We start from the raw sequence: 21,634 nt of genomic DNA, 5'->3' as shown, positions 1-21,634 counted from the left end.
AAGTGCTTTACCCTTATTTAAAAATCCTATGAAGTAGGCACTGTTATTACATCTCTTTTACAACAGGGAAGTTTAGTACCTTGCCCAAGATTACACATTGAGTAAATGGTGGAGTTGGGATTGAAATCCAGGTGGTCTGGTTCCAGAGTCTGTACTCTTAAGAGCAGAACAATAATAACTCCAAGCATTTATTAAATTCTTAAGATTTATCCGGCACCATGCTACATGCTTGTATTCAAGCAGAGGCTGGTGATCATCTTTTAGAAATATTTTAGAAATGATTACTTAATTGGATAGAAATTAAATTTCTTGAATCTGAAGGTTCTGTTATTCCAAGGATGGCTGGAAATGGAGGAAAAGCCAGCAACAAGATGATGTCTGGCCTGAGGCTTTTAAGATGATCAGAATTTGTATCAAAAAGGAAACTGTGAACACGAATGATAAGTATTATAGGAATTCAGTTAACAAGTCTTGTCAGAATGTGGTAATAAATTATATACAACTTAAAGAGATGAAGTTACTTTAAATTGTGTGTGGAAGCCTTAGAAAAATTGAATAATTAAAGTTTCTTGGGAAGATGATCTCCTCTTACAAATGTTTAGTTTCAAATAGTGGCAGCACATATTAGGATAGAGAGATGACTTCTAGAAAACTGAACATATGGGACTGGAACAGTGTATTTTGGAGTCAGTTACAGGAAGGAAGTTGTTTAAAACCAAGTGAACAACAACAGTAACAAATGCATTTGAGAGAAAGAGCAGTGCAGTCCAGACTTAAACATTAGGGTGGCCATAATAGATGGGGAAGAAGGAGAAATCAGCAATCCAGACTAAGACTTCACTGGGTTTTGAGTTAGACAGAGGGAGTCATAGAAGCCAAGGTAAAATGATTAAAACGGTGCGTGGAGTGGTTAGCAATTCTCCCTATAGGAGAGAGAATTTCCTTATGAAGTTTCAGATGAGACCACTGAACTTGACTAGAGGAAAGTCATTGTTTTTAGAAAACAGTTTCTAAGCAATAATTAGAATTAAAGTTTTGTTGCGGAGGGATAAGTAAGAAGTAGATGGAAAAGAAAGAGAAATATCTGAAATTAGGCTACAGTCATAGAAGGTTAGCTGTGAAACAATAATTTGGAAAGGGAAATGGGACCTCATGAAAGTGTGGGTTAAAAGAGACTTGTATATCTTCTAAGGTAAAAGTAAAGAACTAAGCTGATGTCCAGCCCTCTAAAACATTTTAAATAGAAATCAAACTTTATTAATACAGTAGGTCTAGTTTCACATAAAGCAAATATATGGTTCTGTACATGGGCTTTAGGAGAGTAAGTCTGTTGTACCTCATATGTAAGTATTATCCCATTTAGAGGAAAACCCTAAGTCTTTCTTTACAGTGGCTTAAAGGCCCCAATTGATCCACATCCCAGTTACAGCTCTCATCTATTTTCTGCTGCTCCAGATATTCTTGCTGTTTCTCAGACACGCTAGGGCTGCTCTCTGTGTTATGGCCTTTGCATTTGCTGTTCCCTTTCTCATGAATGTGTTTCCCTAAGATACCTGCATGATTACTCTCACCTTATTTAGGTCTCAACTCAAGTATTGTCAGTGAAGGTCTTCTCTGATTTTCCTATTCTAAACTGAGATACTTCTCTTTGCTCACCCCACACCCTCATCCCCAGCTCCATTCCTTCCTGTTTAATTTTTTTTCACAGCACTTAACTCCATCTATTGTGCATCTTTTACTTAGTAATTTTGTTTTCGTCTTCAGCTATTAGAATGTAAACTCCAAGAGTGTAAGAATTTTTCTAGCACTGGAAAAATGCCTGGCACATAATAGGCATTTACTAATTGTTGTGTGAATGAATGATTATAAGTTTAATATTCTTTGTGGAAACTAATAAGGTTGATTTCCTATCAGAAACCGATCATTATTAATAAGCATATTGGATGGTATTTATAGAATTAGCCTTCATATGTTCTCTACTCAGAAGTTGGCAAACTTTTTCTGTAAAGTGCCAGAGAGTAATTATTTTTGCAGGCTTTGTGGTCTCATTACAGCTACTTGACTCTGTTGTTGTAGTGGAAAATCAGCCATAGACAATCTATAAATGAATGAGCATGGCTGTGTTCCAGTAAGACTATTTATGGACACTGAAATTTGAATTGTATATAATTTTGAAATGTCAGAAAATATCCTTCTTTTGTTCTTTTTTTCTAATCATTTAAAAATGTAAAAAACTATTCACAGGCCAAACAAAAACAGGCAGTGGTCCAAATTAGACTTGCAAACTGTACTTTGTCAATCTCTGGTTTTACTGATTTCTTAAATATATCTTAGGTTAAAACTTATTTTTCCATACTTGATAGGGAGCAACAATGTGAATTAAACTGTAGAAACAAATAATTCAGAAATACATCTGTTTAGCTTTAGAAACTTCCATTTTGCTTCATTTTTGTTTTCCTGGGAACCTTATATTTCCATTATATGTTTATGATGCTACCATTTAAATGACTTTGCATTCTCTTAGCATATGCCACATGATAGTGTTAGGGTGGTGTAATAGTTCAGGAGCAAAGCTGAGCAAAGCCCACCCACGTTTAAAAATTTGCCATTATTTAGAAGGTGCATAATTCCCATATGGGAGAATGAAGAGTCATCTAATAATGCCCAGAGGGCTGCACTGTGAGTGAGAATTGTGTTGCAGTTTTTAACATTCATAACACATTTCTTGAATAAGCTGCAAATGCTTTTAATAATATATCTCAGAGTTAATTTTAGCTATGCTACATTGGCACTTTTTGCTCCTCCACTTCAAAAAACCAACACAAGAAACTATTCTCAAATCAAGCTGTGATTTGGATGGGGCATTGTATTTTCCTCAATAAGCACAAAGAAGACAGAAAAGATGTTTTCACTTGGCAAAACTTTTTTTTTTGAGATGGAATCTCACTCTGTTGCCCAGGCTGGAGTGTAGTGGCACAATCTCGTTGGCTCACTGCAACCTCCGCCTCCCGGGTTCAAGCAATTCTCATGCCTCAGCCTCCCGAGTAGCTGGGATTACAAGCGTGCACCACCACCCTGGCTAATTTTTGTATTTTTAGTAGAGCCAGGGTTTCACCATGTTGGCCGGGCTATTCTCAAACTCCTGACCTCAGATGGTCCTCACACCTCAGCCTCCCAAAGTGCTGGCATTACAGGTGTGAGCCACTGTGCCCAGCCCACTTGCAAAACTTTTTAACATTTATAAGGTTTTTTACATACTTGATTTTGTTCAGTTCTTAGAATAATCTCATGATGTAGGTGACCTTATTAACTATTTACAATGTGAGAAAATGGATAGTCAGTGAAGATAAGTAACTTGTCCAAGGTCACAGCACCAGAACTCCAAACCAGACCTTCTGACCTTCTTGATACAGACTCCTCACAGTCACCTGCATGCCATCTTTGGTTTCAGTGCTATGAACTTTCTTCACTGCCTGTTGGTCTGTAGCTACACCTACTCATGAAGATGCCCAGAGCCTTAGCCGCTCCTTGCTCCGCCATGCTTATCTTATGCAGCTCTGGGAGGGGTGAAGAGGCTGTGGCCAGTTACCTCACTACCACTATAGCTATTCACCACCCTGTTTTCTCCTTTAGCCATTTTAGCTACCGCACAATTCTTCTGGGCATTTTCTGTCTTAGTTCCCTCGTATCTGGCCTTCCTTCTTTTCTCAGTAACTGTGACCCCTGCTAGCTAGCCTTGCCAACCAATGGTTAATGAAAGGTCTTGGATATGACTGTCAAAGACAAAAGCACTCATGACCCCAGTGTTTCAGGTCACAATGATTAGGAAAATCAGGACAACAAGGCTTGGGCACAGAAGAGCTGGTTTTTGAGAGGGGGATTTAGAGTTTGGTTTAAATGTGTAATCTTTGAGGTAATGGTGGAACAGCCTACTAGATTCAGTTTTCTAGTCCCTGAAAACTAAAACGAGGAATAAGTTGAATCACATATTTGGGGCACCAGCCAAATATATAGCAGCATTTATAGTTAGAATCAAAGTGTTTGTGTTTCTTAATTTAAATGCTTCTCAGAGATTCCATTTAAACAACTTCATTATGAAAATGGAGACTTACCATGCCTTTTTGATATTGTTCAGAGAAAATTGTCATAAATAATACACACAGTTTGAAATGGTTGTACATCTTATGAATCAAGGGGTGGCATGTAAAAAGGTTCCTCAGTGCCTCAATGTGGAAAATATCATAGAATGTTATTCTTCAATTGATTCCTTCCTTCACTTTGGTGTTTATATGGTATCTTAGATATTTTATGTTATTTTAATTATATTTTGTGCCTTTTTATTTGGTTAAAAATGCCTACTACTTAAATATTAACAGATTTTTAAATATCCCTTTGAACTCTTCCCCATTCCTGTACCTCCTTTCCCTTTTTCCGTTGTAATGTCAGCCACCTGAACATAACCCAGAAAACTAGGTATCAGCCAATTGATGTTTCAGTGGAAATAAGAGAAAGAAGCGCTTACTATTTCTCAATGCTTAATTGAGGAAAAGCACATGATATCTTACATATTTTAAATTGGAGGGGATAATAGGGTCAAGTTCATGCATTATATTGTGGACATCTTAATCCTATCAAATGGCTTAGTCAAAATGAGAAAGTTAATGAATTTAAGCAGACAAGTACGAACAGTGCTCTAAAAAAGGTGCTGTTACACCATCCCAACCTGTACACACATGAAAAAAAGCTGGGGTGCATTTTGCGTTTGAATAAGGGTCATGTTGACTGGCCATGGCAGACCCTGCTAGACCATACACCTGATACTCTGTCACCTGCCAGGACTCAAAAGGACATGGGAGTATGTGGTTAAGTTCTCTAAGGACTCTTTCTTCTAAAGGGAAGCAGTTTTATAGGTGGTCCTTGTAGGTCTGTTGATTCACAATCTCGTGCTTTCTTGATTGGACTGTATTGTTTTACTGTAATTTTTTGGACTTACAAGAAGTCAGGTGTTTTCATGGACTCTTCTCTTTTCCATACAGATGTCCAGAAGGCTTCTTGGGGGAATATTGTCAACATCGAGACCCCTGTGAGAAGAACCGCTGCCAGAATGGTGGGACTTGTGTGGCCCAGGCCATGCTGGGGAAAGCCACGTGCCGATGTGCCTCAGGGTTTACAGGAGAGGACTGCCAGTACTCAACATCTCATCCATGCTTTGTGTCTCGACCCTGCCTGAATGGCGGCACATGCCATATGCTCAGCCGGGATACCTATGAGTGCACCTGTCAAGTCGGGTTTACAGGTAACTAATGAGACCAAAGCCAGTGGTTTCCTACCTTCAGCAGATACCTTTATTTAGCATCTTTTAGATCATGGTGTCTGGCTCTTAAATGTCCCCCAGCTCTGGTGCACATTTAACATTATGATAAGGAACTGGGATGTTCCAGACAACTATCCCTAACTTCCTTTTAAGAGTTTCAGGGGGCAGAGAAAGAGAAAGAAAAAGTACCAAATACTTTGACTGCTTAAAGTATATATGTCAGGGCCAGGTGCGGTGGTGCACGCTTGCAATCCCAGCACTTTGGCAGGCCAAGGCAGGAGGATCACTTGAGGCTAGAGGTTTGAGACCAGCCTGGGAAACACAGCAAGACCCCATCTCTACAAAAAAACAAGAATAAAAATAAAACAAAATTAGTCATGTGTGGTGGTGTGCACCTGTAGTCCTAACTACTTGGGAGGCTGAAGTGGAAGAATTGCTTGAGCCCAGGAGTTTGAGGCTGCAGTGAGCTATGATCGCACCACTGCATTCTAGCCTGGGTGACAGAGTGAGACCCTGTCTCAAAAAAAAAATATGTACACCAGGATGGGGAATCAGAGTTTACTTCACTAAAAGAAATAAGTACACTGTCACCAGAGGAAAAGTTGCTGAAGTTATTGACTATTTGCTTTTAGAAATCTCCCTCCCTAGACATTCAGGGCACTGGCTTTTCTGGTTTTCTGAACCCTGTTCCTTTTGCTTCTTCATTACCTTGTTCTTATCCATTAAATGTTTGTGCTCCCTGGAGCACTGTTTTTCGCCCTCTTTTGAGCCACATCACAGCTCTCCCTAGGGAATTTCACTGTCTGTATTCGCCTCCACTGCCACTGTCTTCATTAGCTTGCTGATGAATCTCACCATCATTCCCTTAGCTCCACCCAACCCTGACATTCAGGCTCATGTTTCTAGCTATCCTTTGTATGTTCTCCTTGGAGATATTCTACAGGTACTTTCAGCTCACCTTGTTGACAGAAATACGTAGCAACCATGTACATCCCAAATACCCACGCTAGAAACTCCCTGTCCCTTGTTCTGACCTCATTTCAACTCAGTCACCCAAGCCAACCTCTGAGTTGCCTTTCACCTGTCTATTCCTCCCATTTCCTCTGCTACCCTGTAGTTGAGGGCCATGTTATCTCTCACCTGGACTTCTGAAATAGTTTCTGAATACGTTTTCTTGCCTTTATTCTCTCCCCATCTCATTCACCCATGATATTACTACATCTTTGATTATAAATGCAAATATTCTAACAATCTCACCTGCTTACAATGTCTAATATTTTTTCATCATCCGCAGAATAAACTGCAAACTCTTTTACATGACTTCCATAGCTCTCTACAGCCTAGACTTTACATCTTTTTGTAGCCTGGCCTCCCCACAAGCATCTAGGCCTAGTCACACCAAATTCTCCTTATTTCCTGAAAATGTTGTACTTATTATTGCTTCCATACAGTTACACACCCTTTTGCCTGGAATGCCCTTTTCTACAACTGGTGATTGTCCAATGTTATTTAAAACTGTGTCTTAGTGACCCTTTCATGATTCCTTTAGGCAAATGGTCTCTAAGTTTTATTAGTTTTATGTATCACATTTTATTGTAATTTTTTTTTACACATATCTCACCTGAATAGATTGTGGGTTTTTCTAGGTGGGTCTGAGCTTTATTCAAAAGTGTTTATTAAATTAGATGAGAAAAGGAGGAACATTCTTCATTTTTTCTCCTGCTTTAAGCACTAAACCAAGAGTTCTATAAATGCAATAAGCAAAAAAGTGAAAAATGTACTCAGAAAACTATACTGGATCAGTTAGTGTAGAATACTGTTATATTAATTTTTCATTGTATTAGGGTTCTCTAGAGGGATGGAACTAATGGAATATATATGTATGTATATATATTCCAACCCAAAGTGTCTTGGTGGCAATCTTAATATATATATATTGGCAATCTTTATATATATATAAAGGAGAGTTTGTTAAGTATTAATTCACATGATCACAAGGTCCCACAATAGGCTGTCTGCAGGCTGAGGAGCAAGGAGAGCCAGTCTGAGTTCCAAAACCAAAGAACTTGGGGTTCGATATTTGAGGGCAGGAAACATCCAGCACGGGAAAAAGATGTAGGCTGGGAGGCTAGGCCAGTCTCGCTTTTTCATGTTTTTCTGCCTGCTTTATATTTACTGACAGATGATCAAATGGTGTCCATCCAGATTAAGGGTGGGTCTGCCTTCCCCAGCCCACTGACTCAAATGTTAATCTCCTTTGGCAACACCTTCACAGACACACCCAAGATCAATACTTTGTATCCTTCAATTCAATCAAGTTGACACACTCAGTTTTAACCACCACAAATCTACCCCTTGTCAACTTGAACCCATACACATCTCCTGAGATCACACATAATCTTCAAATAAAGACAATAATTAGGTCATAATTACACCTGATGTAGTACAACTATTCTTCATACATCCGGAAACACACCAGTCCCCAGCTGAAACACTCTTACATAAAGTTAACGATACTTAAATGCTGATGTGAAGTCAATAAATCTTATGTCACATGATAAAGGAGAAAGGAAATAAAATGAAGATATTTTCTTAGTACAAGTGTGTGCAAGCACAGACATGTTTTTAATAAAAGAAGGAGGAAATACTGAGGACAATTACAGTCCTCATTTCTGCAGCTGGTCACATGGTAGTAGCTGGTATTGATGACTACCTTCTTCTACCCATTTTGTATTCCTTTTGCCTTCAGCAAACACCTCAGCAGGTTATGTTTTTTTTTTTCCTGATGGAGAGGCCCAAACCTTCATTCATCCAGGTGGGACCATTTGTAGTTCCGCCTGGATTGGGCTGTTGTAGTTGCCCATTGACCTTAATCACAGGGCATGGTAATACTAAGAGACGCCCTAATGGATCTCCTGTATTCCATGAATACTCTTTCTTACCTCCGTTCTGGAGTAGTAGACTGATTTCATCTTGATAGCCTGGGTCTTGATAGCCTTGATGTCCCAGCCAACACTGTAACGCCTTTCTTACCCTGTTTACTTAAAGGTAGGAACCCAAAGTGTCCTGGTGGCAATCTTAACTACCAGTTTAATGGAATTGTTGTTGTGTCTTCTGGTGGCAGCATTCCTCCCTCTGGAACTAAGACCTCTAGGCCAGCAGAACTTAATGTTGCGGGAACAGGAAGCAAACATTTTGCTAGTGGATCACTAGGGGTGATGGTGAGTGGTACCACTTCCATTTCCACCCCTTGATTCCTGGACCTGTGAATCCTGGCTATGGGAGAAGCAGTACCACATATTGGACGCTGATTCAGAGCATACACAGCCTTCTTGAGAACTTTGCCCCAACCCTGCAAAGTATTCTCACCTAGTTGGCATTGTAATTGTGACTGCAAAAGGCCATTCCACCGTTCTGCTTCAGGATGTTGGGGAACATGGTAAGACCAGTGAATTCCATGAGCATGAGCCCACTGCTGCACTTCTTTAGCCATAAAGTGAATGCCTTGGTTAGAGGCAATGCTGTGTGGAATACCATGACAGTGGATAAGGCATTCCATGAGTCCGCGGATGGTAGTCTTGGCAGAACCATTGCATGCAGGATAGGCAAACCCATATCCAGAGTAAGTGTCTATTCCAGTAAGGACAAACATCTGCCCTTTTCACAATGGAAGAAGTCCAACATAATCAACCTGCCACCAAGTAGCTGGCTGATCACCCTGAGGAATAGTGCCATATCAAAGGTGCAGTGTTGGTTTCTGCTGCTGGCAAATTGGGCACTCTGTAGTGGCAGTAGCCAGGTCAGCTTTCCACCGGCCCATCTTGTTTTCTGCACTGGGAAGTTGGGGCATGAGCACAAATGTTAGGACCTGAAAGGTGGTGAACTCTGCCTGGGCAGGGCAAAGCCAGAGGAAACTCTGGTGGAGGTCCGTAGCAGTCCTGATGTGCAAATCGGTCATCCAACCTGGGTGTAGGGGCGAAAGACTAATTGAACCATCTAGTAGCTGGTTCCCTCCAAAGTTTCCCTCGGGATAGTTGGCACTCTGGCAAAAACCCCACTCTTGGTACCAATTTACTGTATTAGTCCATTTTCACGCTGCTGATAAAGATATCCCCGAGACCGGAAAGAAAAGAGGTTTAATTGGACTTACAGTTCCATATGGCTGGGGAGGCCTCCGAATTATGGTGGGAGGCAAAAGGCACTTCTTTCGTGGTGGTGGCAAGAGAAAATTAGGAAGAAGCAAAAGCAGAAACCCTGAGAAACCCATCAGATCTCATGAGACTTATTCACTATCATGAGAATAGCACAGGAAAGACTGGCCCCCATGATACAGTTACCCCACTGGGTCCCTCCCACAACACATGGGAATTCTGGGAGATACAATTCAAGTTGAGATTTGGGTGGGGACACTACCAAACCATATCATTCATCAAAAGGTGTTGGTGGGGTAGAGGGTAGTTAGGATGATCCATTATCTCCATCATGACGATGATGGTATTGATGATGTAAGTCACTGAAAATATTTGGTGTTATAAGAATAATTTCTTCCTGATTGTCAGTTTTGAGTTGTTTTGCTATTAGGAGGCAAAGTAGGGGGGCATATACCCACTTAAAATATTTTAATTCTGGCTAGTGGAAATGACAGTAATGCCTTCTTCATAATTAAAATGTCACTCTGAAATGGTCCCAAATTAAAACTTCTTCCTTTGTTGTTAAGAAGGATCTCTTCTTGGTGTGTTCTGCAAGATTCTGATCACCTTTTTTTTTTTTTTTTTTTTGAGATGGAGTATTGCTTTGTCGTCCAGGCTGGAGTGCAGGGCACAATCTCGGTTCACTGCAAGCTCCACCTCCCGGGTTCACGCCATTCTTCTGCCTCAGCCTCCTGAGTAGCTGGGACTACAGGCACCTACCGCCATGCCCGGCTAATTTTTGTATTTTTAGTAGAGATGGGCTTTCACCTTGTTAGCCACAATGGTCTGGATCGCCTGACCTCATGATCCACCTGCCTCGGCCTCCCAAAGTGCTGGGATTACAGGTGTGAGCCACCACACCCGGCCGATTCTGATCATCTTTTATACATATGCTATTTTTGTCTATCACTTTAGGAATCATCACAGATCAAAGTCATCCTTTTGGTTTTTGTGATAGCACTATACCTCAGTCAGCTTACTAGCTCATCTCCACTCAGAGATGAAGAAGCAGAGGCAGCAAGTTAGTGCCTATACATAATATATATGGAAACCAAATTCAGGGTTGATTCTTTCTTTCTTTCTCCCTTCCTTCCTTCCTTTCTCCCTTCCTTCCTTCCTTCCTTCCTTCCTTCCTTCCTTCCTTTCTTTCTTTCTTTCTTTCTTTCTTTCTTTCTTTCTTTCTTTCTTTCTTTCTTTCTTTCTCTCTCTTTCTCTCTTTCTCTCTCTTTCCCTCTCTCTTTCTGTCTGTCTTTCTTCTCACTCTGTTGCTTAGTACAGTGGCGCAGTCTCGGCTCACTGCAACCTCCACCTCTTGGGTTCGAGTGATTCTTGTGCCTCAGCCTCCCAGGTAGCTGGGATTACAGGCATGCGCCATAAAGCCCGGCTAATTTTTGTATTTTTAGAAAAGATGGCATTTCACCATGTTGGCCAGGCTGGTCTCAAACTCCTAACCACAAGTGATCTGCCCACCTCAGCCTCCCAAAGTGCTGGGATTACAGGCATCAGCCACCACTTCCGGCCCAGGGATCTTTCTGTTTCAGTTGTGGGCATCACTCTGAAAATCACACTTGCTAGAAGTGAGCATTTATATCTCTTCTCCACTGTAAATAAGTGCCTCTTAGTGACATGAGTGGAAAGACAAGAAGAATTGCAGTTCCTTCATTTTCTGTCTTAGCTCCCTGAGATGTATATGCTGTGCCTAAATTTGTGTTATAGTTTTCTCCTTTGATTTGACATTCCTTGATAGGCAGAGAGCACTTTTCTGTGCTCATATGTCACATCTCGCATCTTTTTCCCTTATAGAAAAACTCTTGTGTCTCCCATTTACCTTTCTATGAGGTCAGAGATTTAGATACTTTCCTAGACAATCAACTGGAGTATTAACAAATTCAAGGAGTTCTCGCCATCCCGTTACTGGATATATACCCAAAGAATTATAAATCGTGCTGCTATAAAGACACATGCACACGTATGTTTATTGCGGCACTATTCACAATAGCAAAGACTTGGAACCAACCCAAATGTCCATCAATGATAGACTGGATTAAGAAAATGTGGCACATATACACCATGGAATACTATTCAGCCATAAAAAAGGATGAGTTCATGTCCTTTGTAGGGACATGGATGAAGCTGGAAACCATCATTCTCAGCAAACTATTGCAAGGACAAAAAACCAAACACCGCATGTTCTCACTCATAGGTGGGAATTGAACAATGAGAACACTTGGACACAGGAAGGGGAACATCACAAACCGGGGCCTGTCGTGGGGTGGTGGGACGGGGGAGGGATAGCATTAGGAGATGTACCTAATGTAAATGACGAGTTAATGGGTGCAGCACACCAACATGGCACATATATACATATGTAACAAACCTGCATGTTGTGCACGTGTACCCTAGAACTTAAAGTATAATAATAATAATAATAATAAAAATTCAAGGAGTTCTCATCTCTGTAGTTTAAATAATAAGTGACTTAGACTAATGACAACAAAAAGCCAGCCATGTGAATACCAAATTTACTAGTTCTGTGAGGATATTTTTTTCTCTTTCTCTTTCTGCCTCAAAGAATCTGCTTTGCTTCCCCTGCCATCATGATTTAGTTTTCAACCCGTCAGAGTCTTCCTGCTAGTGCTGGTACTTTCCTACTTGAGAAAGTCCACGGAATACCTTCGAGACCTCTGTCCTCCTGATGGCTTCTATTTCATTTGTTATATAGGGACCCAGAGTTCCTTCATCATTTTCAAACACATCAACAGATATTTATAGCAAGGCCACAATTAATAAAATGTTTCCCAGAATATATGTGTGTGTTACATTTAGAGGAAACAGAAGTAGTATTGACTTGTTTCTATCACCAGAGGTCTATTTAGTAACTATATTTTGTGGAAAATATCGATATATTTTATCCATTCAACAGACATGATTTGAGAGCATACCATGGAGACCCAACCCTGCCAGTGTGGCAGGTGGTATAATAGAAGAAAATAGCAAACTTGGTGTATCTGTGTTTGCGCACATGTATGTATGTGAGGGGCACTAAGGATGACTTTACAGAGGTTGGAACTTTTGAGTACAGTTGCCAAGATAGGGAGAGTTCACTAGGAAAACAGAAGGGAAGTTGATTTTTTTTTTTTTTTTTTTGAAATAGAGTCTTGCTGTGTCGCCCAGGCTGGAGTGCAGTGGTACAATCTCGGCTCACTGCAACCTCCGCCTCCTGGGTTCAAGTGATTCTTCTGCCTCAGCCTTCCAAGTAGCTGGGATCACAGGTGCGCGCCACCATGCCCAGCTAATTTTTGTATTTTTAGTAGAGACAGGGTTTCACCATATTGGCCGGGCTGGTCTTGAACTCCTTACCTCATGATCTGCCTGCCTCGGCCTCCCAAAGTGCTGGAATTACAGGTGTGAGCCACTGCTCCTGGCCCGGAAGTTGATATTCAAACAGGAGCAGCATATGCAAAGACAGTGAGCTCTGAGAGAGTAGATGGATCCAGACTCCTATTGCTGATAGCGTCCTGCAGGATTGGGCTTCAATGTGACTAACCTACAATTGCCTCCAGGTGCTCCACCCACTGAGTCCTTGTGTCTCTGCTGAGGTCCTTGGAGAGTTACTGGAGAGGGCTCTGTGTCAGATTACCTTGAGGAGGCTCTGATTTAGCCTTTTGTAAAATGCAAAGAGTTGAGGTCTTCTCCACGCAAGAGCTCGCTGATGTCAATGAGGTATTGAGGATGGGGCCATCTCCTATTTCTGTGGCCAGTACTGAGTTTTGTTATCCTTCCTTTAGGTAAGGAGTGCCAATGGACGGATGCCTGCCTGTCTCATCCCTGTGCAAATGGAAGTACCTGTACCACTGTGGCCAACCAGTTCTCCTGCAAATGCCTCACAGGCTTCACAGGGCAGAAATGTGAGACTGATGTCAATGAGTGTGACATTCCAGGACACTGCCAGCATGGTGGCACCTGCCTCAACCTGCCTGGTTCCTACCAGTGCCAGTGCCCTCAGGGCTTCACAGGCCAGTACTGTGACAGCCTGTATGTGCCCTGTGCACCCTCACCTTGTGTCAATGGAGGCACCTGTCGGCAGACTGGTGACTTCACTTTTGAGTGCAACTGCCTTCCAGGTAAGGAGCTCCCTAGTGTCCCAGGATTAGGGGACAAACCCCTAGCACAGGAGGTAGTGGGTGTGGCTCAATTGCTGTTTTTAGGAAGCCCAAGGAAAAAGGGAAGTGAGAATTTTGTGTGGGGTGGGTTGCTAGTGAGGGAGGAGTTTTATGGGCCCACTGTGGTCCATAAACTGAGCAGGGGATAATTTAGCATGTCAGGGTTTATGATGATGAGTGGCTAGAAAATTGTTTATTGTCCCTTTTGTAGAAACAGTGAGAAATAAGAGGAACAGAGCTCTGGGAAAGGGACAGGCAAGTCTGGAATGGAAAAGAACACGATGAGAATTAGACACTGGAAAATATGTATGTGTGGTTAATAAAGTGCTTTAAACTGAATTGACATTAACAGTAGGTGATCAACTTTCCTATGTGCTTGTGCTTTTGCTTTTGATGGAGTAATTCATTGTTTTCTTATCCACCTAAATGCACCCAGCTGCCCTTGATTTTCTCTGGGCTACTGGCCTTCACAACCCTCTCCCATGTACCCTCTCTGACTTTGGGGTAACCCTCCCCTAACTTAAAGCTAGAGAATTCTGAAACTGAGGAGGGGATCCTCTGTTAATCAGTGAGCACTTTTTGATGAGCTGATAGATGATATATGAGAGACTATGCGTGGCACAATACTTTGTTACACTCTTCACTGATACAAGTGTTCTAGAGTGCACACACAACCCAAAGATAGAAACAAAAAGAGGAGCAGTGTCGGGGAGCTTGGGGCCTGGTGTTCCATGGAGAGGGAGAAAGGAACAAGCCTGGCCAATTCATTCAACTCCTTATAAAAATGATGAGGAGGCTGAAAACCAAGAATTTTGATTGGGAACAGAATACAAGCAGCTGGAGCAGATGAATTACTAAGCAACAAAGATCCTGTTTTTATACAAATATCCTTAGTACAAAAACAAAAGAAGGAAAACTGTAGGGGGGAGTAATGTGCTAAGTAAGCAGAATTGCCTCAAAAAGAAGTTGTTCTAGTTACTCTTTCAGAGTGGGAATCTTAGATTCTGGTATTGTGGATATGGTTCACATATAATGGGATTGTGTGTTTTATTTTGGAGAGATTAAAGGTCATAGGTTGGTCCTCAGTATAAAATCAACTGGTAATTTATTCATTTCATTTGGTAAAAATGTATTGACTGCCTGCTATGTTCTAGGCACCATGCTATGTATTTGGAATACAGCTATACAAAGCATTGTCACATAATTGAAATGAAAACTTTATATTATTTAAGTCACAAGAACAAGCTATTTAATTATATTACTTTTAGTTTCTCTTTTAATAAAGAATAGATAATGCTATCATTCTAGATACTAAATAAGTGTTTTCTTAACATAATATTACTATTCACTTTATCTTGTAGAAGAAATAACTAAAATACGTCTGTCTTCACTCCTGCATTTGTTTGCATTTTAAGGGTTAAAGACAGAAATAGAAATGTAAACAACTTTATTTTGAAAATATTTCAATATTGCAAATATCTCTGGGTCTGATATTCTAGTAATCTAATTGGCTAGTAATTGATGTTAGTGTGATTTATTGTTGAAGGCTAAATGTGTTTTTCAGTTTCAAGAAAATTGCTTTTAATAATTGCCTAGAACAAGAGGTTGATTTGGCAGCAAGATGTTGACGGGAAGTTAGAGAAGTCAATAAAGGAAGTTTTTAGCTGAGAGAGAGTGATTATTCACTCCCATAGCCTCTGCATTGTTATCCATTAGCCACGATAAGAACCTTAGGGAATTCTGAGAGTGTGTCCAGGAAAGGATCTGTCAAACTAGAATAGTATCTCCTCCTTGAGAAAGGAAATAACCAAGGATTCCGCAGCTGAGAGGCTGCCAGGGCTAGTGAAATAGAGTAAGGAAATCTTGGCTGTCTCTTATTCTCTGGTTGTAGTTTAACGCAAGACACTTATTTACTCACTGATGGTGTGTGTGTATGTGGGAGGGGAGATTAGCATGAGGGGTGGGAATGGGGAGATTTGATGAAGAGAAAACTAACATTTTTTTGGTGACTCAGGAACTGTGCCAGGTACTTCCATGCTTATTAGCTCAATTACACAAAAATCTTGGGACCAGGTATTATTTTTCAAGTCTTCCCACATGAAGTAACTGAAGTTTGGAGATGTTAAGTGATTCACCCAAAGTTGTACAGCTAATATGTGGTTAGGCTGGGTCCTGAAACCGAGGCAGTTTATTTTCAAAGCCTTTGCTTTGTGCATCTTACTGCGCCACATTGCACTGCACATCTGCTTCCTGAAAGCACTTTGTAGGTGTGTAAAACTTTTCGTTAAATGCTTTAAGCTGTTTGGGTTAAAAATATATGTTCATGTTATAAGAAAACCAAGACACTCCTAATTATAATCAAATAGTACTTGTTACATATCAATATGTGTGTGTGTGTGTGTGTGTGTGTGTGTGTGTGTGTGTGTGTATATATATATGGCATTGTGCAGATGTTTAAAAGTAGTTACATAGACTAGTTCTTGCTTTTCAGGGTCCCATAATCTAAACCAGATGACTTCAGCTTTGGATAAATATATAGAAGGAAATTTAAAGAGAATTCAAAACAATAGATGATGCAGTGACACTGTGAATAAATGTTATTTATACAGTTTGTAAGATTTCATGCTCATTGTTCGTATGTCCCAGGTGGAGTTCAGAAAATATTCACTTCATTTCCACAAAGGGAAATAGTGCCTAGAGATGGTTTTCTTTTAAAAAGTCCTTTTCATAATGCAGTGCCCTTCCTTCCATTGCCCTTCATTCCATTGCTTCCCATGCTTGTCAAGAGACTAAAATGTTACTTATAGTAATAGTCACTATCTCAATGTAAATAGCACCCTTATTTGATGAGAATTATTATTTCAGTTCTAAAAATGGGGAAACAAAGTCAGCAGGAGGCAAAGTAGCTTGTTAAAGTATTCTGCAACTTTCAAATGGTTGCTTCCACTGCATTTCACGTCTTGGCACTTCTAATTGAGGGTTACTCTAACCACCCTATTTAAAATTGTAACTGTCCCCCACCCCCTTAATTACTAACCCTGGTCTACTTTTTGTTTTCTTTTTCTGTAACTCTTATCTTCTTACTATATAATTTATACTATATAATTTACTTCATTATGTCTATTGTTTATTGTCTGTCTTTTCCAAATTCTACTGCCTCTTACCCTCTCCAGAATGAAAACTAGTATCTTTGTTTTTGTTTACTGATGTAACCCAAACACCTACAAACAGTGCCCAGTATATACTAGGCCCGCAAATATATATTGGCTGACTGACTGTATGGTTTAGTATCATGTCATAGTATTGAGACTGTAACTTTGGTCTTCTCATTTTCTTCTTTGTATTGTGCGTCCTAGACTTAGTTTGGCCTCTCCTTTTGTCCTTGTATACTCTAATACTGGATAAGAATTTTGGAGTCTTTTTCAACTCTGAGTCAGTGAATGCCACATAACTTAGTGACTATATTTAAATGGTTAATTTACAATTTTTTCCCTGCAAAGGATACTGTAGTCACTGTGAGTATTTTAGTATTATTGTAGGACTCAAGAGGGAATTAAAACTACAAAAATGACTCGTCTTGTATGACACAGAAAGAAATGTTTCTTCACAGAGGGAGGAGAAAAATATCTTCAAGAGAGAACTAATTGAATCAAATCAATGAACCATGTCTCATCTTTTTGGATAAGTAACTGTTAGTAATCCAGACACTTCATGAGCTTTCATTATGTAAAGTCTTTAGCAGAAGCTAAAGGAGGGGCACCAACCACAGTAATTTTAACTTAAGAACAAAATGGAGCATGAAAATAAATTATTAAATCATTTACTCCCACTATTTTTGGGTTAGGGCCAATAATGGGGAGAGAAAGAGGTAGACTAGTTTTGTGTTTGTGGCTATTTTAATAGAGTAGCACAAGTAATCAAAAAACAGTAGGCTGTTTTGAATTTACTGGCTGTCCCTTATGAGTTCACAGTTAGATTGGACTGTCCTCAATGTACTTTCTTTTTTTTCTTTCTTTCCCACATCTCTTTATTTCTCTGATTTTGTTTAAACTTCATAAAGAGCTCTCTGATCTTTCCTTTCCAAACAATGAAGGTTTATCCTTTGTAAACTACCTCTGTACTCCACAGGCTGATGATATATGATATCCCTATATCATTAAAGTAAAGCCTAAGCACATTCTGTGGCTTTTGTGTCTACTCTGTTGTTGCTGAGCTTATGAACTATTAGAAATAATTCCCTCTTGCATTTTCACACATGGGGAATGTGATGTTCTCTTGGGTATTATGCTAATCATATTTTGGCAGGTTTCTCTGAAGCAGATGCAGAAATGATCATACCACTTTCCAGGGTGTATTATTTTAGCTCCTTTGACTTGGGCCCTAAGTCTGTTTTACCTGATGTTCCTGAAAGATGTTCCTGATGTCCCTCACTGTTCTTTCATGCTGGATGTTCTTGCCTATGCTGCCTCCTCAGCTATCACCCTCTCTTCCCCTTTTTAATGTAGAACTCATTCTTAATGATTTGTCAAAGGCACCCTATTTCACTGAAATGCCTTCTATATTCCCTACCCTCCAAGTGGATTGTAGACCTTCTAAGGTCTTTTGACATCTGCATATCTCTAGCACAGCACTTATCACGGTGATTATTTATCTGTTCATCTTTCCAAGTAGACACTCTCATTTTAACTCCCTACCCTAGTCGCCAGCATCCCCAGCATAGTGCCTGTCATAAAATGGTGCCACAATGAAAATTTGAAAAATGAATGAATTGAACGTGATAAACATAGATGAGAATCCTATATTCTACAATTTTTTAAATGTACTGAAATTATTCTTTTTGAATCCTCCTATTTATTTCTGTGACTTCTTTGGTGACAAAGTTAGAAAAAAGTGGAGGTCAGTAGGGAGATATGAAGGGACGCAGGTGGAAGCAGTGAGCCTGGGCGGGTGATGGAGTGGGCGATACGTGGCACAGGGGTCAGTGAGTTAATCTGGGCTCATTCAGAGAATGGAAGTTGTGTGCCAAGAAAACTGGTTGGATAGGGATAGGTCAGGGATTCCCTCTTGCATTCTCACACTTGGGGGCATGCGTCATTTTCTTTTCTTTTCTTTTCTTTTTTTTTTTTTTTTTGAGACGGAGCATCGCTCTTTCTCCCAGGCTGGAGTGCAATGGCGCTATCTCGGCTCACTGCAACCTCCACCTCCCGGGTTCAAGCTATTCTCATGTCTCAGCCTTCCAAGTAGCTGGGACTACAGGTGCCTGCCACCATGCTCAGCTAATTTTTGTATTTTTAGTAGAGATGGGGTTTCACCATGTTGGTCAGGTTGGCCTCGAACTCCTGATCTCAGGTGATCCACCTGCCTCGGCTTCTCAAAGTGCTGGGATTCCAGGCATGAGCCACCATGCCTGGCCGCATGTGTCATTTTCTTGGGTGTTATACTGATCGTATATTTGCAGGTTTGCTTTTGTGACAGACTTCTTCTGGGGGAAAAAAAGTATCCTTCTATCTTTTTACTTTTGTCCAGTTCCAGGTATCCCTGTTTTTTTCTTCACTCTTCCTTCCTTGTTCATGGGAGTTTTTCTTGAGGACTTCAAGCCCAGCTTCGGAGAATCCTGGTTGTGTCATCTCATCTCCTTTCTGCTCTCTTCTCTACCTAGGCTTTCCACCCTCACACCTCCCGGGGTCTGAAAATGGAAAGATAAGGGTGTTTCCCTGAAAGTTGCTCTTCTGTGTGGGGATGACAGGTTCTAAAGACTCTTTTCTGGTCCCTGCCCTCATTGCCATGATTAATCAGTTAAGTGGCCCGAGGTTTTGTAACAGCACAGTCTTAAAATGCTTCTCCCAAGTTTAATTTCTCTCCATTTGACCTTTTAAGGATGTGAATTGGCTTTAAGCAGTAGACTCCCTTTAGTACGGCACTGTGAGCCTCTCAGTGAATCTGCTACATCCATTCCACCCACGGGTCTGGAAACTTGTCTGTTTACCTTTCCCTAAAAACCTAAGATATATTTTTAAGAAGTGCCTTGTAACTTTTCATATAGCCTTTCCCCTACTTTGGGTAGACTGTTTCTTACAGGAATTTGGTAGATCTTTCCAAAGAGAATTCTGTATCTCTATTTTTAAAGCATAAATCCTGTCAACTTTGGAGGAGAACTGATTTGGCTTGAGTCTTCTCAGACATGGGAACTTTTGACCTAAGTTTGTATTTTACATTGTTGAAAGGGAACTCCGGGATCCCAGAAAACATATGGACTGCAATTGGGTAAAGTTTCTGTTTCAGTACTTATTCCTACTTACTAGCCGTTTAATCTTGGTCAAGTCAGCCATGTGGCTCTCAACTTCCTCATCTGTAACATAAAAGGATTAGAGTAGACAATCTCTAACAAGTGCTATAATACCACTGACAAATAATAATATTAGCTAATATGTGTAAGGCACTGTGTTTAGTGCTTTTTCCCTTAATACAATAGCTTTGAGATATAATTTATATACCATACAATTTACTTCTTAAAAAAGTACACAATTCAGTAATTTTAGTAGATAGGAGTAACCATCACCACAGTCAATTCTAGAATATTTTTATACATCAGAAGAAACCCTTTACCCATTATCAATTACTCTCCATTCCTCCTAACTCCCTCCCAGCCCTAGGCAACTACTAGTCTACTTTCTGTCTTTATTTGCCTCTTCTGGACATTTCATACAAATGGAAACATGCAGCATGTAGTAATTTATGACAGCTTCTTTCACTTAGCATGAGGTTTTCAAAGTTCATTGATGTGGTAGCATTTATCAGTACTCTGTGCCTTTTTATGGCTGAATAATATTTTATCATATGGATTTACCACATTTTATCATTTTATTTATCCATCATCAGTTGATTGACATTTGAGTTGCTTCTACTTTTTGAGTATTATCAATAATTCTGTTATGAACATTCTTGTATAATTTTTTGGTAGACATTTATCTTCATATTTCTTGGATATATACCTAGGAGCAGAATTGCTGCGTCAGATGGTAATGCTGTTTAACCTTTTCAGGAACTGTCAGACTGTTCTGAAGTGGGTACATTATTTTACATTCCAACCAGCAGTGTATGAGAATTCCAGTTTCTCCACATCCTCATCAACAGTTGTTATTGTCTGTCTTTTTTATTATATTCGTCTGTAATGTGAAGTGTTTATCTCATTGTGGTTTTGATTTACATTTCCCTGATGGTTGATGATTTTCAACATCTTTTCATATACTTATTAGTCATTATGTATCTTCTTTGGAGAATGTCTGTTCAGATCCTTTACCTACTTTATAATTGGTTTATCTTTTTAATATTGAACTGTAATAGTTTTTAAAAAATATATCCTAAATACAAGTCTCTTATCAGATAATATGATTTGCAGATATTTTCTGTCATTCTATATACTGTCTTTTCACATTCTTGATGATATACTTTTCAGCCCAAATGTTTTTAACTTGATGGAATACAATTTATTTTTTCTTTTGTTGCTTGTGCTTTCAGTCATATTTGTGAAAACTTTGCTTATCCCACATTACAAAGATTTACTATTTCTAAGTGATTTATAATTTTACCACCTACCTTTAGGTCTCCGATCCATTTTGAGTTAATTTTTATGTGCGAGGAGGGAGTCTAACTTGATTCTTTTACATGTGGATATTTAGTTGTCCCAGGACCATTTGTTGAATTAAGTGCTGTTTTTATCTAATTCGTTTAATCTTTACAATAACCATTTAAGGTGGGTCCTGTTAATTCCCCAAGAAAGTTTAAGTATATTGCCCATATTCACTCAGCTATTGCATGGCAATGCTGAGAGTTGAGCCTAGACAGTTTGGCCCCAGAAGCCATGCTTTTAGCTATGAAATAACTGTCTTACCTACCTCCCTTCTTACCTACCTATCTACCTATTGACAGGGAAAAAGTACCTCAACAATAGTCAATCAGTTATAAAA

The 21,634-nt window shown here is 39.9% G+C and overlaps 1 protein-coding gene across 2 annotated transcripts in view, besides 1 other annotated feature; it reads left to right on the top strand.

Moving 5' to 3' along the window:
• NOTCH2 (notch receptor 2) overlaps nucleotides 1–21,634 on the top strand; it is a 158,110-nt gene that overhangs the window by 59,038 nt on the left and 77,438 nt on the right. For both annotated transcript variants that reach the window (NM_024408.4, NM_001200001.2), the window contains exons 3-4: nucleotides 5,037–5,296; nucleotides 13,293–13,628. In NM_024408.4, coding sequence (NP_077719.2) covers nucleotides 5,037–5,296; nucleotides 13,293–13,628 — 596 coding nt within the window. The remainder of the gene's footprint in view (nucleotides 1–5,036; nucleotides 5,297–13,292; nucleotides 13,629–21,634) is intronic.
• Nucleotides 19,751–20,115: a silencer, noted in NCBI's record as "S9 fragment used in the reporter construct". NCBI's record gives its function as "represses activity of a beta-globin enhancer-driven SV40 promoter in transfected K562 erythroleukemia cells {active_cell/tissue: K562}" and the evidence as "EXISTENCE:reporter gene assay evidence [ECO:0000049][PMID:30886051]".

This window comes from Homo sapiens, chromosome 1 (genome assembly GCF_000001405.40).
Source record: "Homo sapiens chromosome 1, GRCh38.p14 Primary Assembly".
Taxonomy (NCBI): domain Eukaryota; kingdom Metazoa; phylum Chordata; class Mammalia; order Primates; family Hominidae; genus Homo; species Homo sapiens.
The sequence above is the reverse complement of the archived record's forward strand: the minus strand, read 5'-3'. Positions and strand labels throughout refer to the sequence as shown.